The following is a 25,557-nucleotide window of genomic DNA, read 5'->3' as shown; positions in this document are numbered from 1 at the left end:
GAACATAATTGTAATGGCTACATGTCTGTAAAATTATCCATTTCTTCCTTCCATTGAACAAACATTTAAGGATGATTTTTCTTTTTTTTTCTTTTTTTTTAATTTTATTATTATTATACTTTAAGTTTTAGGGTACATGTGCACAACGTGCAGGTTTGTTACATATGTATACATGTGCCATGTTGGTGTGCTGCACCCATTAACTCGTCATTTACATTAGGTATATCTCCTAATGCTATCCCTCCCCACTCCCCGCACCCCACAACAGGCCCCAGTGTGTGATGTTCCCCTTCCTGTGTCCGTGTGTTCTCATTATTCAATTCCCACCTATAATTTAAGGATAATTTTTCTTTTACTATTAAAATTTTTAATATTAATTCAAGATATTTGTGCCCAGTGATATTATATACAAAATATTATTTGTATTTAATAGGTTGGTATTTTAGGCTTACAGGTTTTATTTTACATTCTGTTCTCTTTCTGGTAACATGAAAATTATATTATTTTATTAAGAAATATTTTTTCAGTAAACTTTATATATTTCTTTGCCTATCAGCATTTACACTATTTTAAATCAAGGTCTTAATGAATATGCTTCAAAATTAACTCAGTATGTGCAAACTTCAAAGAGGTTTGACATTTGGTTACAGCACAATTAAATAAGGAATTCATGTATTAAAATGTTATACTATGACTTAAAATATCATATTAGCTGGAAACATCAATAGAATCACTAATATTTGATATGTGATACATGAAAATAAAAGCTAATCTGTCTTCTTATTATGGAAGAAAAAATAGATCTTACAATTGCACATTCAACTGTTTTTAATAAATGGCAATTAAGAATTTTAGTCCTCTATTGTATAATTACTGATTTGCAAGGTCCAATATAAAGTCAATAAATTTAAACTAACATAATTCCCTACACCATGCTAATGCTTGGGCCAGGCATACTTTCTTGTCCCTGTGTTAAACAATGCTGGGATCAAGCAAAATAACTTAGCTTATTGCTCCATAAAACATCTGCTACTATAAGATAAGACTGTATTAACTAAAGAGTTTACTTACCAAGATTAACAGCTTGTTCATCCAGATTCTCTTGGAGATCCTCACCTTGCTGTATCTACAGATCCAAAGCTATTATGTCCTAAACTTTGACAAATTCCTGTAAGTTCTCCTTCCAAGGCCTGCCTTAAGATTGCCCAGCTCAGACTTTCAAACTCAAGAAATAACTTCTTCTTATTTCTCATTCTCAAACCATGCTAAGACTCTATCGAGAGACACTCTCACTCACTGCCATATATCTATTAAGTTTTTCCTGACCAACAGATTTTTATAATGGCTGTATTAGTCAGGGTTCTCCAGCACTAACAGGAGATTTAATAGGAGATTCAATAGATGATAGACAGATAGATAGATAGATAGATAGATAGATAGATAGATAGATAGATATTTACTGTAAGAAATTGACTATTGGCTGTTGGCTGTCGTGGCTGACCCCTGTAATCCCAGCACTTTGGGAGGCCAAGGTGGGAAGATCACTTGAGGCTGGGAGTTTGAAACCAGCTAGGGCAATATAGCAAGACCCCACCTCTACAAAAAAATTAATAAAATAATTATAAAATATTTTAGTAATTGGCTGCATGTTTATGGAGTCTGAGAAGTTTCATGGTCTGTCATCTACAATCTGGAGACTCTGAAAGATAATAGTATAAATTGTAGGCTAAGCCTAAAGGCGTGAGAATCAGGAGTACCAATACTGGAAGTCCCAGTTCAAGAAAAGAAGACCAATGCTACAACTCCAGCAGTTAGGCAGAGAGAGAAAATTCATTTTTGTTTTATTCGGGTCCTTAGTGGGTTGGAGGATGCCCAACCACATCAGAGAGGAAAATTTGTTTTAACCAGTTTTCCAATTCAAAGTTAATCTCTCCTGGAGACACCCTCACAGACACACCCAGAAATAATGTATAACAAGCTATCTGGGCATCCCCTGGCCCAGTCAAGTTAACACATAAAATCCACCATCACAGTGGTTTTTGGGGGGTCAATAGTAAGCAGTGGATAGATTTCTGAGTAGACATAAAAAACATGAAAAACATTTAATATTATATGATTAAACTCAAATTTTGTATACTTTAAATACAGATTACTTAGTGATCACCTAACATTGACTACCAATACAAATTTAAGGTGTAGTTAATTTTGATTTTCCATGACAACTAAGAAAATTAAAAGTTAGCCTTGTATTTATTTCCTAAAATGAAACAAACAAAACTCTATGATTTTAAAGCATATTTTGATCATTCAAAAATAATCTTGGTTAATAACAATAATGAACTTCAGATTATATTTTAAACTAAAAACAGCAAGCCAAATATTTTCCAGAAAGAATCGAGCACTTTAAGTAGTCTAGAATTTAGGGACATGTTTATAATGTTGGGATACAGGTTGAGCATCCCTAAAACAAAAAATCAGAAGTGTTTCAAAATTCAAAACTTTTTGAGTGCTGACATGATGCCACAGGTGGAAAATTCTACAACTGACCTCATGTAATAGTTTGCAGTAAAAACTTGGTGTATAACACAGAGTTTATTCATTTAGGGGACATACTTAAAATATTGCATAAAGCTATCTTCAGGCTATACATAAAAAGTATACATGAAACACAAATGAATTTTGTGTTTAGATTTGGGTCGCGTCTCCAAGGTATCTCATCTTGTATTTGGAAATATTCCAAACTCTGAAAAAAAATCTGAAGTCTGAAACACTTCTTATCCTAAGCACTTCAGATAAAGAATACTTAGCTTGTTCTATAAACTGGAATGAAAAGTTTGGCAAGCCATTTGGGGCATTTATTGCTTTTCAAAAATCTCTAAAACCAGAAAACCTAACTCCTATGATTCAGGGAGAGAGACATCTATCTCCATTTTCCAACAGCACTCTTATGTGTAACAGCCATCACTACCAGAAATGGCTGCTCTATTTTATACCAAATTAAAATCATGCTTGGTAACTTCTGAGAAGCTGATTTTTTTTTTTTCTCATCCTAACATCAGAAGGCAGTTGTATCAGTCTCAGAATATCTCCTTTCAGGGGTGGTCCTGGGATAGTTTTGTCAGGTCAATGTTTCATTCTGAATAGAAATGGTGAAAGGACAGATAGAAAGGAAAGAACTGGGAAAAAATCTTCAGGTTAAGTCCTGAGTGTATACTATCATGAGGTGAGAAAAAGGAAATCCCAGGGAAAATTGCCTATGCTCAAAGATATTCCATCATCCCCTCCTCCTCTATCATTCCCTCATTTGCTCTTATTTAAAGACATTGGAAAAGAAATCAAAATTGCCTTTGAAAAAGGTTAATTCATTTTGACTCAATTACAAAACTTCTGTATAACTTGAATTCCATTAATAAGATAGTCTTTAACCTTCCAACCTTCTCTTCAGACTAAAGAATTCAAATTCTTTTCTTTGTTGTTTTGTTCTATCCCCCAGGCTTTTCAACATTCTTCATATCCATCAAACTCTGTAGCAAAAAATTAGGCACTAGTCTTCTAAGACCTAGACTGCAGGTAGATTCATGTGCTTGCTTTTTTTTATACCACTACCATCTTCTATTTCACCCTTGCAAAATTTTTAAAAACATGTGTTTCCGGGGAAAGCATCATGTGGCAGTAGTGATTTTCCCCTGACTCCAGCAGTCCAAGTTCACACAGCATGTGGCTGGAGCAGATGCAGTCAGTGTGATGGAATATGAACAGGTTGCCTTTCTGATGGAACCGCACCCAGCATTTCTTCAAAACATTCAAAAATGTGTACTAAGAGAAGACTCTAGGTTATGTAGGCCACATGCTTACAGAGTTATCTGATTAAAAGCAGTGCTTCAAAACATGCTGGTTTGTTTTTAAAATAATGTTAGCATAACTAATGCTTATTACATACAACATAAAAACTTAAAAAAACACCCTTTTTAGCAGATGATTTAAATTATTTTGGAATCAGCACAACACAGAGAAGCAGGTGATAAGAATAATGTGTTAGTATAATGAGTCCTTAAACCACAGATTTAATATTGTTCCTGAAATGTTTGGCAAGAGGAAAAAGTATCAAGAGAATTCGATAATAGTTTATTCCTAGTGGGCTACAGCAAAGATAGACTGTCACAGAATGAATGAAAACTTCTATCTCTGTAATTGAAAATATAATTATAAAAATTTTGAATCTAAAGTGCAAGGTAATTCTAGATTTCAAGCTTACAGTAGGCCAGTCTGGCTGATACAAACAAAATCACAAAATGCACTGTCACCCTGTTATCTGCTGCTCTCTTTCTTTGCAACTTTACATATATTAAAATCAAAAGGCAGGGTAACTCTGAGTGATGTTTCTGTTAAAAACGTACATACAAAAGAGGACTAGATTCTGCCATAATCAAGAATATTGCAATTAGACATAAATGCCTCAGTTGTGGAAAAGCTGGACCTTAACCAACTTCGAAATATTTACCTGTATAGACTATGCCAGAACACCACGGGCCAAACTTTCCCTTTGTAAGATCCTTTATGAAAAATCTTACAGACAGAAGGGATTGGGCAACTCATAAGCCAGCAAATACAACAAGACGCAAACACAACGAAAAAAATGTTGAGTCTTGCTACCAACAAAGAAATGGGATTAATTAAAGAAATTAATAAAAAAGGAGCTATTACCACTTATTGCACTGAAAAGTTTATGTGAAAATGCCCATGCTGGTTTTGGGGAAAAAAATTGGTAATATGTATCAAGAATTATAAATATGTGCATATTCTTTAAATTTAAAGATTATAATAAAAGTATATAATCTAACAACTCTATTGCCTGAGATCTCTATATCAAGAAAAGCTGCATTTTCAGGAAATGGGGTTGATTTTATTTTATATCACTAGGATATGTAAATAATTATACCTTTATGCTAGCCAACACCCCTTCTCCTCAATTTGGCTGTTAAAAATCCAAAATGTAATTTGATGCACATCTCTAATGAATGCATAAAACTTAACAGCATGTATTTCATAATTCTTGTTTCAGTTTATTTTTTCTCTGCTTATTTTTCATTACTTTGATATTGTCAGGCGATATTTTCATCTTCTTATTTTATATTGTTTGAAAGCTATTTTATTTTAAAACTTTTGGAAATAAAACAAGATTTAAGCAATTTAAATGTTCACCAAATAAAATACCACAACACCGTTCCCGACTTACCATGGTTCAACTTACAATTTTCCTACTTTAGGATGGATTTATTGGGACATAAACCCATTGTAAGTTGAGAAGCATCTGTATATGGAAAATAATTTTGACATAAGAAACATTTAATAAATGTCTATCATTAAAATTTTATTTGCAAAAAAGTGTGAGTCAAAAGATGAGAGAATTATAGGGTATAATATAAACATTTAAAACTAATATAAAAACAAAAAACTATTCTTATAATAAAATTTAATTTATATTATAATATATATTATCATGTAATTTGAGTAAAAAAAAGTGAAGAATTAAAAATACACAATTTTGTGTGTGAGAGAGGTAAAGAGAAGGAAAGAGAAAGAAGAAATATATGCCTGTGTACCCACAAAAAGAAATCCTTAAAAATGCCAGCAGTCTTATTAAGAGATTTGCTTCTTGTTTTATATTTTTTCAAAATATTGTTGTTCCTATGTTACTAAAAAACATAAAATGTTATCTTTTAAACAAAGTTTAAAGGTCAAATTTTGTTAAATGTTAAATTTTTAGTATTATTTTTATGATGAAATGTATTTAATTTAAAATTATACCTGACTAAAGTCCTGGTCCTCAGGCAGGTTAAATTTTGCAATTTACATTTTATTAATAAGGTATTTAAGACCCAGGTGAGCAAAGAGACTTCTGGAGGCTAGAAACACTGATAATGTCAAGAAAAAATTAGGGATCCAGTACCCTGGCATATTTTCATTCATATGTTGGCATCTTTTCTACTGTAATTATGCTACCTATCTCTGATGATGCTTGGCTTTTAAGCTTGCTGAGAGAGAAACTTTGCATCAGACTTCAGTATGATGTAGTCATATTTTTTATGCTTATTTTCATAAAATTCAAATTAATTTGAAGCGTAGTTGAGCAACATTGTCAACTGTATCTTGGAGAAGCATTCTAAACTTCACTTTCTCCTCAGAGATGAGAGTGGGCAGCTCCAAGGAGGTGGGCAGCCCTACCTCCTACACAGCTCATCTCTGAGGCATTGGTGGACAGACGGGGCTGTGAATCTCCAAAGTTCCTCACAGAGGAAGCAGGAGGGTAACAAAATGGACGAGGGAAGTTGTGAAGTCTGGCATGAGGCTGACAGTGGACATGTGAGGGGAATCTGTTAAAGTCAGTGCTCAGGCTAAAGGCAGCTGGACGATGACAGGGAGGCCACCAGGGTCACTGCTCACACAGCACTTGTGCCATAACTGAGGGAGCCATGGGGCCTGGAACTGAGGAAGCAGCTGGACTGTGAGGTGGATCTAACTGCTGAGGCAGGAAGCGGGTGGTCACAGGAGGAGGAAAAGATGAGGCTTGCGCTATGGAGCATCTGCCCCCACATTGGCTCCTGTGAAAAGGCTCCACGAAGATTAAATCGTAAAGGAAAAAGCATTTATTTTGCCTAATCATCGACAGAAACAATTTTGACACTTGCAATGCTGAAAGGAAGGCTACTCTGGACAACAAAACAAGAAATGTGGAATTCTCGAGGGCTAAGTTGTCTCAGAAAGTGCACGGGCAACAAACACATTTCCACAAGAGGCTGGGTGGTCAGTAAGGAATTCTTCACTGATTTCTGACTTTTCCAGTGACTGATGTGCACCTCCAAGCAAGTTCCTGAATCTCTTTGAACCTGTCTTCCTACTAGAAAAATGGGTATCTTGCTGTAAAAAGAAACCACTTCTTTTAGAAACCAAAAGTTCCCTGGCAAGCTACATATGCAAAATGCTCTAATTTCAAAGGAAAATATGTTGGAGTCATTCTTGAATATCTAAGTTGAAATTCTCTTTATAAAGTTTTAGCTGTAAGAACACATTCTAAATTTATTGATCCAAAATTGTCTGGTTGGCTTTTGTTGTTGCTTTAAACAACTTTCTATTCTATGTACTAACAAAAAAATCAGATGTTAAATTTTCTTCATGTTGGCTTAATGGAGATAAATAAAAAGCACATTTTTAAATTATCATTTTCTACTTACCATAGGAAGATAAATTTAGAGCTTGTTTAGTCTATTGAAGCTGTAACACACTCTGTTTAGCTCATAAGGCGGCCCTGGTTTCACTCCAAAATAGGCGTTTTCCTGACAAAAATAAAATAAAATAAAATAAAAAACAAAGGTCGAAGTCATAATTATACCTAATAGGAAAATAATGAAATCAACTGAATATTAACTAGATCTTTCTATTCAGGCTGGTGCATTTTTAGGGAGATACAATCTTAAAAATTAAATTTTTAGGCTGGGTGCAGTGGCTCACGCCTGTAATCCCAGTATTTTGTGAGGCTGAGGTGAGCAGATCACATGAGGTCAGGAGTTCGAGACCAGCCTGGCCAACATGGGGAAATCTTGTCTCCTTTAAAAATATAAAACTTAGCTGGGTGTGGTGGCACACATCTGTAATCCCAGCTACTTGGGAGGCTGAGGTGGGATGACTACTTGAGCCCAGGAGGCAGAGGTTGCAGTGAGCCGAGATGGCACCACTGCGCTCCAGCCTGGGCAACAGAGCAAGACTGTGTCTAAAAAAAAAAAAAAATTACTTTCTGTAAAGTAACCCCCCATCCCAACATACACACACAAACACACAAACACACTTGACTAGGGTTCTCCTGGTTCATACATGACCTTCCTCTAAGGCAGTGTTTTCATAAATTAACTGATAATGAATACAGATTTCCAAGTTCCTGCAGAGTAAATTCTGAATCAGTAGATCTGAAGTAAGGCAAAGCAATCTGTATTTTTTTTTTTAACAAGCACCCTAGGGAGCGAAGAAGTTCAAAAAAACATTTCTCTAAAAGACCACTTGCTACTGTTGTAGGTAAATAACTCAATTCACCTAGATCCTGTCTTAGGACAGACCATCCGTGACAGCACTAATAAATTGTGCATGAAATTGATTTCATCTGTATTGGAAACATAATTTGTCCTGCAGTATGTCTTGTGTGCCATTGACTCACACTTTCATTTCAGTTGTTGTTTCTGTGTGGTCTAATCTTGTATATATAACCTCACTTACAGAGAAGATTTTAATTTTTCTCAATTATGAAGTTTGCCTTTCTCCCTCCCTTCAGTTTACTGATTTTTCAGTGAGGAGTTCTCAAGCCTTAGAATTCAATTTCTTCTGATTTCAGTTCAAGGTAAAAGCTTAAACCCAAGCAAAGCTCACTGCAAAGAATGTGGTTAGAACAGAAGAATAGAAATTGCACATTTATTCAATTATATCTTTTGTTTTGTGCTTTGTAAATACCTTTTCATCTAACGTAAATTAGAATCACGGTCTTAGTGAATTTCAGACACAAATAGGGTGGTTCACACTCATATATCTTAGCCACCATGTTTATTGGCACTGTATTATAATGGACTTAGACTAAAAGAAGAAATAACCATTTGAGTTTGTTTCCTTGTTTTACAACCTTTTCACATTCCAGCTTCTCCACATAAAAGGAATTAACAGAACAGAGTACACTGCACCTGAATACTAAACGTCCTCACATTCTATGTCCTTGAGCAAATTTGAACTAGGGGAAAAAATAAAATAAAAAAAACTTTTTGCTAACACAAATACAATGAAGTAGCAGACATATGCACTATGCTAAATTCTATCACTTTCTAAGCTATGTGTCATGAATAAATAACATACTTTAAGAAACCACACAAACTCCTTTTGATCACCAGGTTTCTATTCTGTAAATTGCTGCTGCAGATTTATATGCTACCTAACTTACTATCAGTGAATATATGAGGTAAGGGGAGAATGGAGTCATATTGTAATTGCCATATTATGTGTGCTTATCCAGGTTACACATTATGTTTGAAAGTTATTTTTCTTACAGGGATAAGGATGGGGTGATGTGTGCCATTTTATTATTATCAAGAGGAATATTAAATCAATTTGTATTTATCCCAATAACAAAATTTTAAAATTTGTGAAAGAGGGTTCATTTATTTTTAATTAGTAGTAAATAAACCACCTTATAATGAAAAGCATAGTAATTTCTGCTTGAATATCTATAAAATAAAAAGGCATGAAGAAACCAAATAGTACATTGCAACTAACTGTAAAAGTGAAGCTGAAATAACATCACTCTAAATCCTCCCAATATGCAAACCATGATGATATGAAAAAAACACAAACTTTAGATTACAATCCTTTTCTTCAATGCCCTAAGCAAACATAAAATTTTAAATCCCAAATTAAATACTATTTAAACATATATTTTTAATTAAATATATGTAAACATTAAGTGATTCTGATATAATAGCTTTCAAGGCCAGACTAATAGTTCTGTTTCCTTTTCTCTGTCATTCTGGTGAGTCCACAGAGTAAATGAATTTTTTTTAAGTCACTCGATACAGATAAGGTTTTTTTTAATAAAACCTGACAGTCTGGTTTTAAAATTTATATGGAAGATTAAACGGCCAAGAATAACCAAGATATTTTTGCAGTAAAAGAATAAAGAGTGAGGATTTACCCTACCAGGTAGCAGGACTTATTATGAGGCTATAATAAATATGATAGGAGTAGCATTGTATTGGAGTTTTATAAATTAACAGATTAAACGTAATAAAGAGTTTAGACGGATATGCATATATGAAAACTTGATATATGACAAGAGTGGTATGCAAGATCAGTTCAAAATGAAAAAAAAAATCAATTAATAAAACCAAAGAAAAACGACCATCTATAGGTAAAAAAATTGTAGGAAACTAGATCCTTACCTAATGCCTTTCACTCCAGCAAACTCAGATAGATTACAAACATAAATATCAAAAACAACGCTTTAAACATTTAGTCAAAAATATAGATTAATACTTTTCTGACCTTGGGATAAAGATCATTTCCTAAAACAAGACAAAAAAAATGCTAGCTAGAAGACATGATTGATAAAACCGACTCTATTAAAATGAAGAATTTTGATTTTTCAAAAGGCACATAAGGTAAGGGAAAACAAAGTAAAAACTGTTAGGAGAAAAGGACCAAGGATATATTAAAGCAAAGAATCACTTCTAAAAAATAAAAAGGAAAGGATAAACAACTTAATAGGCAAAACAGACACAAACAGAAAAATGGGCAAAAGACACAAACAGGTATTACAGAGAAGAGGAAACACATAATTACCAGTAAGAATATGAAGACGGGCTCAACCTCTTTGTGGTTAAGGAAATGCGAATCAAGACCACAAGATACCATTTTATATCCACCCACTGACAAAATTTAAGAGCCCTGATCACATCATGTGCTAGAGAAGATAGTTTTAGTGTCATTGATCAGAACATAAAGTTAAAATGACTCTGAAAAATAATTTGGCAATATCATTTAAAGTTATTCTCATATCAAACTATTCAACATTTATACTGCTAGGCATTATCCAACGATATGCCTCACATTTGTGAACTTGGACGCATATACATGAATATTACTAGCAAGGTTATTTATAATAGGGAAATATGAGAAATTAACCCAACTGAAAAGGAGATGAATAATTAAATGTGATATATCCATGCACTATAATTCTATAATAGTGCAACCCAGGTGTGGTGGCACATGCCTGTAATCCCAGCACTTTGTGAGGCCAAGGCAGGAGGATTGCTTGAGCCCAGGAGTTCAAGACCAGCCTGGGCAACACAGCAAGACCACGTCTCAAAAAATGAAAATTCTGTAATAGTGTCAATGAACATATATACCTGCAACAGTGAAAACAGACAAATTATAAAGCTACTTGGAATAACTTAGATGAAATTTAATGTACAATGCTGTCAGTGGGGAGGAGGAGGTGAACACAATATTAGAAGACTATGAACAACCTACTACCCTTTTTTAAAAGTTCAAAACAGTTAAAACTATAGATAGACAGATGTGGAGATATAGACACATGTGTCTATATATATATGTATATACAGAAATGTATTATGTAGATTTTTATATATATGTACTTTTTTGAGATAGAGAAAAATACGCACAAATTCAGATAGTGGTCATTATAGAGGGGGGTTGGGGGATGGCATGGGGAGAACATATTAGTAAATATAAGTTATAATAAAACATATTAGTAAATATCAGTTATGATCAATGTATTATATTAGTTCTTTGGTTAGTTCAATGACATTCAGTATATTTTAGATGATAGATGTGGATAGATGATAGATAGATAGATAGATAGATAGATAGATACAGCCCACTGAGAAATGATAATAAAGTCTACTGACTATCATTATGCCAATTCTGTGAATCTGAAATATATTAAATTAAAAAGTAAAAGACAAAAAATACCACCTGACTCCAGAGCAGTTCTCAAACTTCACTATGTACCACCATCACCTGGAAAGCTTTATTAAAGTTCAGATGATTGAGTCCCCACCTCCAGAGGTTCTGTGTCAGTGGAACTGAGGTGAAGCCAATAAATAGCACCCTAGGTGATTCTATTCTAGGTGATATAAGGTTCACAGTATTAGAAATACTGCTTTATAGGAAACGTTTTTCTTGGCTTTATCACAAAAAAGTTTATGTTCTTCAACCTGTGTATGTCATAGTGGCCCAATGCCCTCTGGACTTAAGTGACACAAGTTTATATCTTCATGACCCTCCATTGTTCCAGCTGCATAGTTCATATTAAGGCATGCCTTATATTAAATAATAAAACCTGTAGTAATAATAACTTAAACATATTTACATAGAACTGCATGCTTAATCTATTTTTATTACTTTATGATATGAGATGAATTGTATCCCCCCAAAATTCATATGTTGAATTACTAACTCTCAGAATGTGACTGTACTTGGAGATAGGGTCTTTAAGGAGGCAATTAAGGCTGAGTGTGGTGGGTCACACCTGAAATCCCAGCTCTTTGGGAGGCCAAGTTGAGAAGATCGCTTGAGCCCAAGCATTCAGGACCAGCATGGGCAACATACTGAGATCCCATCTGTACAAATAAAAAAATTATAAGAAAAAACGAGGCAACTAAGTTTGAGAGCAGTCATTAGATTGGGCCCTAATCCAATATGACTAGTGTCCTTATAAAAAGAGGAAATTCGGACATTTTGGTCATAGACATGCACAGAGGGAAGACCACATGAAGACACAGTGCGAAGAAAGAAACCCTGCCTACACCTTGATCTTGAACTTCCAGCCTCCAAAACTGTAAGAAAATATTTTTTTCATATTTAAGTCACCCAATCTGTTGTATTTTGCCACAGCAGCCCTACCTAACAAACTAATACATCTCACAAAACCTAACCTTACATAGAGAAGATGTTTAGGGAGAGGTGGGAACATTATACCATTAAAAAATCATTACAATTACATTTGGCATTAAATATGGAAGGACAAATTGGTGGATGGAAAACTGGTCTGTCAGTATTTTTCACTATCTAGATGAGGCATACATATCTGACATATCTATTTGCACCACCTTTTCACCAGGAGACTGATGTTGAAAGGAATTGGCAGTTTTCATACAATGATTCCTTAAACGTCAATGTAAATGAACACCCATTATTAAAATTCATAATGCCTAGCCACCCATATGAAATAGACATTTGTTGTTTTGTTGGTTTTTTTTTTTTTTTTTAGCCATCAGGCACTTACCCCATTTATTAATCTGTTCCTCTATTCAAATTCTAGCAGCACTGAGTCAAGCAGGTGGACTTGTGACCTAAACTAGACTATCAATGCTTCTTTCCAGGATTATGAATCTTTTCCAGAGACAATGGGCACAGCGACATTATGACTTTCATTGGCCATAGGAAAGTTTGCTTCTGTGGTCCTCTTCTTATATTAAAAATATATATTAAGTAATTATATTTTACAACTGTGTTATTATAAAGATATGCAGCTGGGTTAGATTCATTTTTTCTTGTGATTTTAAAATAAACTTAAAATATGTTTTGTTTGTACTTAACAGTTTTGTGGGCCCTAGGCACCATGCCCACTGTGCCTCGTGGCTCACTCAGCCCTAACGAGAACTCTGGAGATGGGAGGATTTCACTCTCATGCTGAAGTGCTCGGGCCAGCTTCCTTGCCTTGACCTTTACCAGAGTTTCTGTTCTTTAGCCTTAGAGTTTTGTTTTGTTCTGTTTTGTTTAAATGACTATTCATCTCAGAATAATGTGGTCTTATGACCCTATTTTGTTTTTTAAGGTAGAATTAAGTCTTCAGGATATGTTCATTCTAAGACAAGTTTACTGTTACAGAACTCTTCTGTATAGCACAAGTCAGTGGTGTTCAGCACTAGAGATGTTTCACATTGCAGGGAGTCTGTAAGACTTACAAACCATGCACCAAGTAAGTGAACTCTCAGCTTGCATTTAAAACATTTTTGGATCAAGTGTTCTGGGGTTTCAATTTAAAAATAGTCAGAGGAAAAGCAGATCTTTAAATATTTATTTTTCTGAAAAATCTACACTGGACTAGTTGTAACATAAATGAAGCCAATATTATAGCATCAAAAGCCACAACTCATGATAAAGACAAATACTAACAGTAAAAGAATGAACAGCAACGTAGCAATTTGTTTATATGAGCAATGTGTTCTAATGCTAACATTAATGTATTAGCCTCATTTCAAAAGCAAGTCTGTTTCTACATTACCTGGTATTTTAACAATAATACAAATATTAAAAGTCAAACAGCTAAGACCAGGGTGAGAGGATGAGAAACTTAGGAGGCAAAATTTAAGGAGACACACACTCTCAAGGTAATACAAACGCATGCACGGTCAGTATTTCCATAACCCTGAAAGTTAGCCCCCACTTAAAGTCTGCATCTTAGGAAACTCATTCTCCTTATCTTAGTTCCATCCTTCATAAGCCAATTTATTAGTATATTCAAAAAAGAAAGTGAAATGTATTTATAATACTTGACTTGGCTACAATCAAAGCCTGGCTTAAAATTAACTCTCTATTCTCTAGAACCTAGAAATGAAACAAAGCTAATGATGACCAGTAACTCTTTCGCAACACTTCTTCAAATACAGTAGGATAAAGTTATTATATATACCTCTATTTATCCTTTTCTTTCAAGTCTTCATATCTTCGTAATTAGTGTTTTGTTTTGTGTGGTCTTTTTGGAAGCTGCATTCGTTTAATTAAATAGTTAATATTGCTGAAGTGTAGATGAAGAAAAGCACTAAACTATAAAAGACTCACTTTAACTTGTCAGGTTTATTGCAGGAATGAAGCCCAGACCACAAAATCAGATGTTAAGAAATAACATAATCTTCATTTTTCTATAATGGAAATTAATTTTTGACTCTGTACATACATTCTGTGTATCTGATGGAAAAACTGAATCTTATTCTCATATTAACATCACCTCTTACCCACTCTGTGATTACTCTAAGATTCTGGGATCTAAAACAGTACCAAAGCATTAGGTAGGGATTAGGAGGCACTCTGATAAGAGATCCACAATCAGAGTCCACAGAGTTTATCCAGCCTCAACCTCAAGAAAGGACAACTCAGCATTTTTTTCAGCTTTAACATAAATAGTACACAATAAACTGTGGTCCTAAAGAGGTATTGTCATAGGGTCAAGACTTGGGGGAAAACTCTTTAATAAAAGGATATCCCATCAATGAGAATTCACTATTAAACAATGAGCAAAGTGAGGAAAATTGAGGAATTATCAATAAAAGAGAGCAGGCAATTGCTAATTGAAACACTGAGCAGAGGTCAATCATGGTAAATGACTGCAATTTTCCCAAATACTGCTAAAACAAGATCCCTGTTTTTGCTACATCAGGGCACTGCTAATTAATTTTCATGCTAGAAAGAGAGCTTAGATAACTATGCCTTTTAAATTCAGTTTAGTTCCACTGAATCAGGGCATCCCTCAGAGTGGGCCTCTAAGGAAAGTTCAAAATGGTAGAAGAAATAGGAGGGGGGAATTTCTCCATTAATTTAAGAAACAGCCTGAGGGTTTAATTCAGTTTCCTTCTTTTCAAAAGCAAGGGCACTTGTGAAAGAATTGAAGAAAGAGCACGGAAAGTAGGACCCATTTCTTGCTGCCAATCTTGCAGTCTAATTTGATGTTGCCTCTTTCCCCCTAAATTCCCAACTGATTTCTAAGTATGAGGAAAACCGCCTGTTGATTTACAAATAGGTACCCCGTATTTGCCTTTGTTATTGCATGACTCTAACATTTTGGATGAATAATAGTGAATACTGTTGGTTGTTGCTAGTTCTTTTGAAGAAGAGCTATTTTAAAAATAATTTCACAGTCTGAAGAAAAATAGTGAAGAAAGCATTAGGCATACTGGAAGTGAACTAAAAATATCTAAGTCAAAGACATGAGTATCCTATGAGAGGAATTACTTTCAAGAGCACATCTCGATCTCTGTTCACTTCTAATCATAAATAATTAAATTGAAGAATCAGTAAAATGGCAGCTTCCACTTAGTTCATATTAATCACTGTTACAGAGTAGTGAAAAACTGACATGTGGTTTTAAACTCATGATAGGATTTTGCTTTATAAATATTTATAACTAACATGGTTTGGTTTTAACAGCTTTTTTATAAGTGTGTGGAAAGCAGGAAGACACCATACTTCAAAAGTAACATCTTATCATAGGCTATAAATAATTTTTTTTACAAATCGTCAGCAACATCAGAGAAATTCAAAAACACTGAAGTTTTTTCAAATTATAATCAGTAATTTAAATTGAATTGTATTCTTATATAAATACACATATATACACACTCATAAGTGCAAAGAATCTGAAGATTTTCTCTATTAATTCTCTATTAATTTTCTGTATTAAAATAGAGAAAGTAAAACTACTTATCAATAAGTAAAGACAATGCTTGCTATATAAACATTTGTTATTAGTGTAAAAACAGTATGAGAAAGACTAGAAAGAATGGTGTATTTTATTCTTTGAGTTGTCATTTGCCCTTCTACTTATATATAAGCAAGAAAACTATATAATTATGAGGTGAAAAAAGAAGCAATGTATCTTTTTCCACGGACCTGCCGACATCTAATATTAATATACTGGTGAGAGAGGGTAAGAATGGGAGTTTAATTGGAGTGTTTATTTGAACAACTTACTTCACAACCTTATTTTGTTGTTGTTGTTGCTTTTGTTTTTGAGATGGAGTCTTGCTCTGTTGCTCAGGCTAGAGTGCAGTGGCTCAATCTCTGCTCACTGCAACTTCTGCCTCCCAGATTCAAGCGGTTCTCCTGCCTCAGCCTCCTGAGTAGCTGAAAATACAGGTGTCCACCACCATGCCCGGTTAATGTTTTTATATTTTGTAGAGACGGGGTTTCACCATGTTGGCCAGGCTGGTCTTGAACTCCTGACGTCAAGTGATCTGCCTGGCTCAGCCTCACAAAGTGCTAGGATTACAAGCGTGAACCACCACACCCAGCCCACAACCTTGTTAAAACCACATATCCTTATCTACAACCTATAGTTGCAAAAGCATCTTTTGGATTTGGGCTTAGAAATTTAAAAAAAATTAATTCCAACATTTCTCATGCACAACAAAGTTGGAGAATGATTCGTCTCTATGTTACTATATCTTCTAATGAAAGCTTTGTATAGCTTCATTTAAATATAGATTCAGAAACACTACTACTACTACTACTACTACTACTACTACAAAAATTAGGTATGTCACTGGTGGACAAATTTTGGAAGTGCAGAAAGAAATTAAAAATGAATATATTTAGAAGTTATACCTCATCAAAACTAATACTACCAATTAAAAATGTGTCTATCAATGAGTGAATAAAGAAGATGTTGTATATATACACAATAGAATACCATTCAGCCTTTAGGAAAGAAGAAAATCCTGTCATTTGTGACAACATGGATAAACCTGTAGGACATTATGCTGAATGGAATAAACCGGCACAGAAAGACAAATACCACATGATCTCACGTATATAGGGAATCTAAAAAAGTTGAACTTATAGAAGTAGAGGCCAGAATGATGACTGCCAAGAGCTGGAGGGAATGGGGGGATGTTGAGGTCGAAGGACACAAAATTTCTGTTAGATAGGAGGAATAAGTTCAAGAGATCTATTGAACATCACGGTGATTACGGTTTATAACAATATAGTATGTACTTGAAAATTGCTAAGAGAGTAAATTTTAAATGTCCTCACTACAAAAAAATTGGTAAGTATATGAAGTAATGCATATAAAAGTATCTAAAATCAATTATGGTACATTGCAAATATTTGTATCTTTTTCTGTGGTGGCATACTCCAGAGATAATGAAGTCCTCTGAAGAGCAGTGACTAATTACAGAGTAGCCAAGCTAAGATATCTGAAGTGACCACTAGCAGCATTTGAACTAACTTATAATTGGTTTTGTGTGGACTCCATTTGTCTCCACTATGGCTCACTTTGACATTGAGGTTGTCTCTTGCTGTCTTGGACATTCCTTAACTTTAATGTGTTAACTCTTGAGGCTGATCTATATAAGGAAAGATAAACATCAGAGAGATCAAATAATTTGACATAGATGTCGGTCAAGTCAGTAAAAGAGCTGGTGTATTCCATGTCACTACCTCATGGCTGAGGGAATGCTATATACCTTGAAAACATTTCAGAATTTGTGGAGACTACTTGACGTTTTAAGTCTTATGTGATCTCCCAACCCTTGAAACTAACATTTTCATATGTTTCTCCTAGAATAATCTACTATTAGGAATAATTGCTATAAAGAATAAATATGGTCAACTTTTTGTTTTTTATTGTGGTAAGATACGCATAACATACACTTCACTATTTTAACTATTTCCAAGTGTACCATTTAGCAGCATTAAGCACATTCATATTGTGTATAAATATCATGAACTTTGTTTTATTATATACTCCATGACTAAGGAACACCTAGGCCTGTTTCCCATTTTACCACTCAGTACCTAACATGATGCCTGATAATCACTGCCTGGTTAATAAATGAATGAATGGATCCATGACGCCCTGCCTTGTAAGAACTGAATGAATTGAATGTGTTTGAAAGTACTTTGAATAATGACTATTGCTGGGCGCAGTGTCTTCACACCTGTAATCTCAGCACTTTGGGAGGCCGAGGCGGGCGGATCACGAGGTCAGGAGTTCGAGAACAGCCTGGCTAACACGGTGAAACCCCGTCTCTACTAAAAATACAAAAAAAAATTAGCCAGGCGTGGTGATGGGTGCCTGTAGTCCCAGCTACTCGGGAGGCTGAGGCAGGAGAATGGCGTGAATCTGGGTGATGGCGCTTCCAGTGAGCCAAAATCACGCCACTGCACTCCAGCCTGGGCAACAGAGTGAGACTCCATCTCAAAACACAAAAAAGAAAAAGAAAAAAAAAATGACTATGAGGTATATACTATGTCCTCATCCCAGGCAATTGTGCTTAAATGTTTGGCTTGTGTACATCGGATCAAAGCCAGACAGCTTAATAACAATGTAGATATTTGATCCACTCACAAAGATTCTGACTCTGATGCCACTGAGTCCTGAAAGGAGGTTTTGAAATCTGCCATTTTAAGATGTCTCCTGGTTTAAAATCTATGCTCGGCCTGGTGCAGTGGCTCACGCCTGTAATCCCAGCAGTTTGGGAGGCTGAGGTGGGCGGATCACCTGAGGTCAGGAGTTCAAGACCAGCCTGGCCAAAATGGTGAAACCCTGCCTCTACTAAAAATACAAAAATTAGCCGGGTGTGGTGGCGTGCACCTGTATGCCCAGCTACTCAGCAGGCTGAGGCACAAGAATTGCTTGAACCTGGGAGGAGGAGGCTTCAGTGAGCTGAGGTCGCGCCACTGCACTCCACCCTCAGTGAGAGAGGGAGACCCTGTCTTAAAAAACAAAAACAAAAACAAAAAAACATAGCCGTAAGTGCCCACAAGAGAAAGCAGGAAAGATCTAAAACTGACACCCTAACATCACAATTAAAAGAACTAGAAAAGCAAGAGCAAACACATTCAAAAGTTAGCAGAAGGCAAGAAATAACTAAGATGAGAGCAGAACTGAAGGAAGTAGAGACACAAAAAAACCCTTCAAAAAATTAATGAATCCAGGAGCTGGTTTTTTGAAAAGATCAACAAAATTGATAGACCTCTAGCAAGACTAATAAAGAAGAAAACAGAGAAGAATCAAATAGACACAATAAAAAATGACAAAGGGGATATCACCACTGATCCCACAGAAATACAAACTACCATCAGAGAATACTAGAAACACCTCTATGCAAATAAACTAGAAAATCTAGAAGAAATGGATAAATTCCTTGACACATACACCCTCCCAAGACTAAACCAGGAAGAAGTTGAATCTCTGAATAGACCAATAACAGGCTCTGAAATTCAGGCAATAATTAATAGCTTACCAACCAAAAAAAGTCCAGGACCAGATGGATTCACAGCCGAACTCTACCAGAGGTACAAGGAAGAGCTGGTACCATTCCTTCTGAAACTATTCCAATCAATAGAAGAAGAGGGAATCCTCCCTAATTCATTTTATGATGCCAGCATCATCTTGATACCAAAGCCTGGCAGAGACTCAACAAAAAAAGAGAATTTTAGACCAATATCCCTGAAGAACATCGATGCAAAAATCCTCAATAAAATACTGGCAAACCAAATCCAGCAGCACATCAAAAAGCTTATCCACCATGATCAAGTGGGCTTCATCCCTGGGATGTAAGGCTGGTTCAACATATGCAAATCAATAAATGTAATCCAGCATGGAAACAGAACCAATGACAAAAACCACATGATTATCTCAATAGATGCAGAAAATGCCCTTGACAAAATTCAACAACCCTTCATGCCAAAAACTCTCAATAAATTAGGTATTGACGGGACGTATCTCAAAATAATAAGAGCTATCTATGACAAACCCACAGCCAATATCATACTGAATGGGCAAAAACTGGAAGCATTCCCTTTGAAAACTGGCACAAGACAGGGATGCCCCTCTCTCACCACTCCTATTCAATATAGTGTTGGAAGTTCTGGCCAGGGCAATCAGGCAGGAGAAGGAAATACAGAGTATTGAATTAGGAAAAGTGGAAGTCAAATTGTCCCTGTTTGCAGATGACATGATTGTGTATCTAGAAAACCCCATCGTCTCAGCCCAAAATCTCCTTAAGCTGATAGGCTACTTCAGCAAAGTCTCAGGATGCAAAATCAATTGTGCAAAAATCACAAGCACTCTCATACATCAATAGCAGACAAACAGAGAGCTAAATCATGAGTGAACTCCCATTCACAATTGCTTCAAAGAGAATAAAATACCTAGGAATCCAACTTACAAGGGACATGAAGGACCTCAAGGAGAACTACAAACCACTGCTCAATGAAATAAAAGAGGATACAAACAAATGGAAGAACATTCCATGCTCACACATAGGAAGAATCAATATCGTAAAAATGGCCATACTGCCCAAGGTAATTTATAGATTCAATGCCATCCCCATCAAGCTACCAATGACTTTCTTTACAGAATTGGAAAAAAACTACTTTAAAGTTCAAATGGAACCAAAAAAGAGCCCACATCGCCAAGTCAATCCTAAGCCAAAAGAACAAAGCTGGAGGCATCATGCTACCTGACTTCAAACTATACAACAAGGCTACATTAACCAAAACAGCATGATACTGGTACCAAAACAGAGATATAGACCAATGGAACAGAACAGAGCCCTCAGAAATAATGCCGCATATCTACAACCATCTGATCTTTGACAAACCTGACAAAAACAAGAAATGGGGAAAGGATTCCCTATTTACTAAATGGTGCTGGGAAAACTGGCTAGCCATATGTAGAAAGCTGAAACTGGATCCCTTCCTTACATCTTATACAAAAATTAATTCAAGGTGGATTAAAGACTTAAATGTTAAACCTAAAACCATAAAAACCCTAGAAGAAAACCTAGGCAATACCATTCAGGACATAGACATGGGCAAGGACTTCATGTCTAAAACACCAAAAGCAATGGCAACAAAAGCTAAAATTGACAAATGGGATCTAATTAAACTAAAGAGCTTCTGCACAGCAAAAGAAACCACCATCAGAGTGAACAGGCAACCTACAGAATGGGAGAAAATTTTTGCAATCTACTCATCTGAAAAAGGGCTAATATCCAGAATCTACAATGAACTCAAACAAATTTACAAGAAAAAAACAAACAACCCCATCAAAAAGTGGGTGAAGGATATGAACAGACACTTCTCAAAAGAAGACATTTATGCAGCCAAAAGACACATGAAAAAATGCTCACCATCACTGGCCATCAGAGAAATGCAAATGAAAACCACAACCATCTCACACCAGTTAGAAGAGCGATCATTAAAAAGTCAGGAAACAACAGGTGCTGGAGAGGATGTGGAGAAATAGGAACACTTTTACACTGTTTGTGGGACTGTAAACTAGTTCAACCATTGTGGAAGCCAGTGTGGCCATTCCTCAGGGATCTAGAACTAGAAATACCATTTGACCCAGCCATCCCATTACTGGGTATATACCCAAAGGATTCTAAATCATGCTGCTATAAAGACACACGCACGCGTATGTTTATTGTGGCACTATTCACAATAGCAAAGACTTGGAACCAACACAAATGTCCAACAATGACAGACTGGATTAAGAATACGTGGCACATATACACCATGGAATACTATGCAGCCATAAAAAATGATGAGTTCATGTTCTTTGTAGGGTCACAGATGAAGCTGGAAACAATCATTCTCAGCAAACTATCGCAAGGACAAGAAACCAAACACCACATGTTCTCACTTATAGGTGGGAATTGAACAATGAGAACACATGGACACAGGAAGGGGAACATCACACACCGGGGCCTGTTGTGGGGTGCGGGGAGTGGGGAGGGATAGCATTAGGAGATATACCTAATGTTAAATGATGAGTTAATGGGTGCAGCACACCAACATGGCACATGTATACATAGGTAACTCACCTACACGTTGTGCACATGTACCCTAAAACCTAAAGTATAATTAAAAAAAAAAAAGCAAAAAACTATGCTCTTGCTGTATTGTTGTGTGTTGTATTGGTCTGGTAGTTTCCAAACACATCTCTGAAATTTTCTAGATGAAATGAGAATATGCAAGATGAGATTAATTGAATGCACTTGCTGATGAGGAAACAGGTTTACGGAGGTAAGCAGGTTACCTTTACCCAAGGTCATATGGAAATTAGGGTTAGAAATAGGATATATGTCCATATCTGACGTATTACAAAGTCCATACTCGCCTGAGTGCATAAAGCTGTTTTGCCCTTTCATTACTGAGATGTAATTAATTTATTAATTCATTAATTAACAAATCACAGAAAGCCTAAAAATGTTAGTTACTTGATTACTGGATTAAAGTATAACATGTAGCTTCTTGACAAGTAAGTTAATGAATGAAGTCATTGCAAGAATATTCATTGAGTTCTTGTTGCTCCCAGGTGTGGTGACATTTTTCTATAAGCTTGTTTCCCACATTATGTATTTATTTCTTACTTGAGAAATACAAACAGCATATGTTTTTCATGTACATGTTGTTTTAAAATATGCATACACTATGGAGTGGCTAAAGCAAGACAATTAATATATGCATTAATTCACATACTTCTATTTTGTGGTAAGAATACTTAAAATCTACTCTGTTAGCAATTTCAAGAATACCTTATTAACTATAGTCATTGTGTTGTACATTGGATCTCTTCCAACTTACTTTTTTCTCCCTAACTGCAAATTTGTATCTTTTAACAAACATCTCCCCAGCGGCCTCCCCAGCCCCAGCCCCAAACCTTGGTAACTATCATTGTACTCGCTGCTTCTATGAGTTCAACTTTTTGAATTCCAAGTGTAAGTGAGATCATGTGGTATTTGTCTTTTTGTGACTGGCTTATTTTGCCCAACATAAAGTCCTCCAGGTTCATCCATATTGTTACCACTATACAATTTGTTTTTTTTTTTTTAAGGCTGAATGGTATTCCATTGTGTATATATAACACATTTTCTTCATCTAGTCCTCTGTTAATGGACACTTAGATTGTTTGCATATCTTGGCTATTGTGAACAATGCTTCAACAGACATGCAGATATGTCTTCAAATATTAATTTCATTTTCTATGATTAACTACTGAGCAGGGGGATTGCTAAATCATTTCGTAGTTCTGCTTAATTTTTTGAGAAACTTACATTCTGTCTTCAATAATGGCTGTACTAATTTTCACCAACAATGTGCCAGGGTTTTCTTTTCTCTGCATCCTTTCCAATATTTGTTATCTTTTTCTTTTGGAAAATAGCCATTCTAAAGAGGTGTGAGGCGATATCTTATTGTGGTTTTAATATGCATTTCCCTGATGATTAGTTATGTTGAACATTTTTTCTTATACCTGTTGACCATTTGTATGTCATCTTTTGAGAAATATCTGTTCAGATCTCTGCCTATTTTTAATCAAGTTTTTTTTTACCATGAAGTTGTTTGACTTCCTTATATATTTTGAATATTAACTCCTTATCAAATATATGGTTTGTAAACATTTTCTCCAATCTCATAGGTTGTCTCTTCACTCTGTTGATTGTTCCCCTGGCTGTGCAGAAGCTCTTTTGTTTGCTATGGTCCCATTGTGTATTTTTACTTTTGTTGCCTGTGCTTTTAGACTTATATTTAAAAAAAATCATTGCCCAGGCTAATATCGTGGAGACTTTTCCCCTACCTTTTCTTCTAGTAGTTCTACAGTTTCTAATCTTAAGTCTTTAATACATTTCGAATTGGTGTTTGTATATGGTGGGAGATACAGATAATTTCACTCTTCTGCATGTGGATACCCAGTTGTCCCAACACACACCACTTTGAAGAGACTATTTTTCCCCATTGTGTGTTCAATTGATATTAAAAATGTGTGGATTTATATTTTAGCTCAACATCATGAACTTTTGAAAATACAAGTCTTGGCCTTACATCCAGAGTTTCAGATTGTGGATCATTGTTTAGAATCATTAATAACATTGTTAACAATTGTTAGAATTGTTTTGTTTTTGTTTTAGAGTGAACCATATAATACATTTACTCATAGAATATTATGAAGTCAATAGTTTGCATTAAAAACAGTTGTCACATTTTTATTAACTATTTTTGGCAACATTTTAGCAACGTGTTTTGAAATGGGTAACATAGGTCATTTTGGGCCTGAGGACTGGCAAGATGTTGAAAACTTTACATTTTTGTGATTACACAGCAAAATCAGATGTTCCCACATATGAATTTCTGATTAGGAAAATGTAGATACATTAGAAATTTGAATTCTGTTAGGATATCAAATCGTTCAAGTTGACATAGCTGAAAGCAACTGGAAATAAATGATCAGAAACTGGTTGAAGGTCAGAGACAGAAATGTTCTTTGGTGATTTGTCAGTATAGAAATGTAAGTTAAAATCGTGGAAGCAGAAGAGCTATGAAGGAGGGAATCCAGATGGAGGAGAATATAGGCAGAGAATCAAAGGAAGGTGCTGGTGAGAGAAAGGACAAAAAGAATCCTAAAGACAATGATGAGAAAATCAGAAGGATAAAATAATCAGGCAAATTGACTGGGAAATCTTAAAAAAAGAATTTTTAATGGAAAATAGAGCAGTGAAGCAAAGGAGAAAGAGGTTGGAGAAATATTTTAGTGGTAACCCAAGACAGACTTTTTTTTTTTTTTGTAATTTAAGGTACTACATTGGTATGTTGCACATTTGTTAAAATAGGATGCATATCATGATATTATTGATGATATTACTATTCCTTAAAGACTGATTAAAGGTTTTGGACAACTTTAAGACTACTTTTAGTAAAGGGCTCAATTGATATTTGAAGGGGAAATCATTGTTTTTGTTTTTTCATTTAAAAAAAATGTCCTGGCCATGAGTGGTGGCTCACATCTGTAATCCCAGCATTTTGTGAGACCGAGGCAGGCGGATCACGTGAGGTCAAGCGTTCCAGACCAGCCTTGCCAACATGGCAAAACCCCATCTCTACTAAAAATACAAAAGTTAGCTGGATGCAGCAGTGTGCACCTGTAATCTCAGCTACATGGGAGGCTGAGGCAGGAGAATCGCTTGAACCTGAGAGGCAGAGGTTGCAGTGAGCCGAGATCTCACTACCGCACTCCAGCCTGGGTGACAGGGAGAGGCTCTGTCTCAAAAAAAGAAAAAAAAAATTATTCTGTAGGCAACTCTGATGAACAACCACAGTTTACAGAAACTAATTTTAACACAGTCACTCACAGACTTAATCTCTTATTTATTGGAACATCTGAAATTTGTAAGCCTCTGAGCTAAGTAGCAAGTAAGTATACTGAAATTATAATAAGAA

General features: G+C 35.3%; 1 long non-coding RNA gene across 1 annotated transcript in view; it reads right to left on the bottom strand.

Annotated features, from left to right (window-relative positions):
- LINC02008 (long intergenic non-protein coding RNA 2008) overlaps positions 1 to 25,557 on the bottom strand; it is a 477,534-nt gene that overhangs the window by 270,990 nt on the left and 180,987 nt on the right. Inside the window, exon 2 of the long non-coding RNA NR_147146.1 lies at positions 7,233 to 7,334. This is a non-coding gene — a long non-coding RNA (long intergenic non-protein coding RNA 2008). The remainder of the gene's footprint in view (positions 1 to 7,232; positions 7,335 to 25,557) is intronic.

Source organism: Homo sapiens, chromosome 3 (genome assembly GCF_000001405.40).
Source record: "Homo sapiens chromosome 3, GRCh38.p14 Primary Assembly".
NCBI classification, from domain to species: Eukaryota; Metazoa; Chordata; class Mammalia; order Primates; family Hominidae; genus Homo; species Homo sapiens.
The sequence above is the reverse complement of the archived record's forward strand: the minus strand, read 5'-3'. Positions and strand labels throughout refer to the sequence as shown.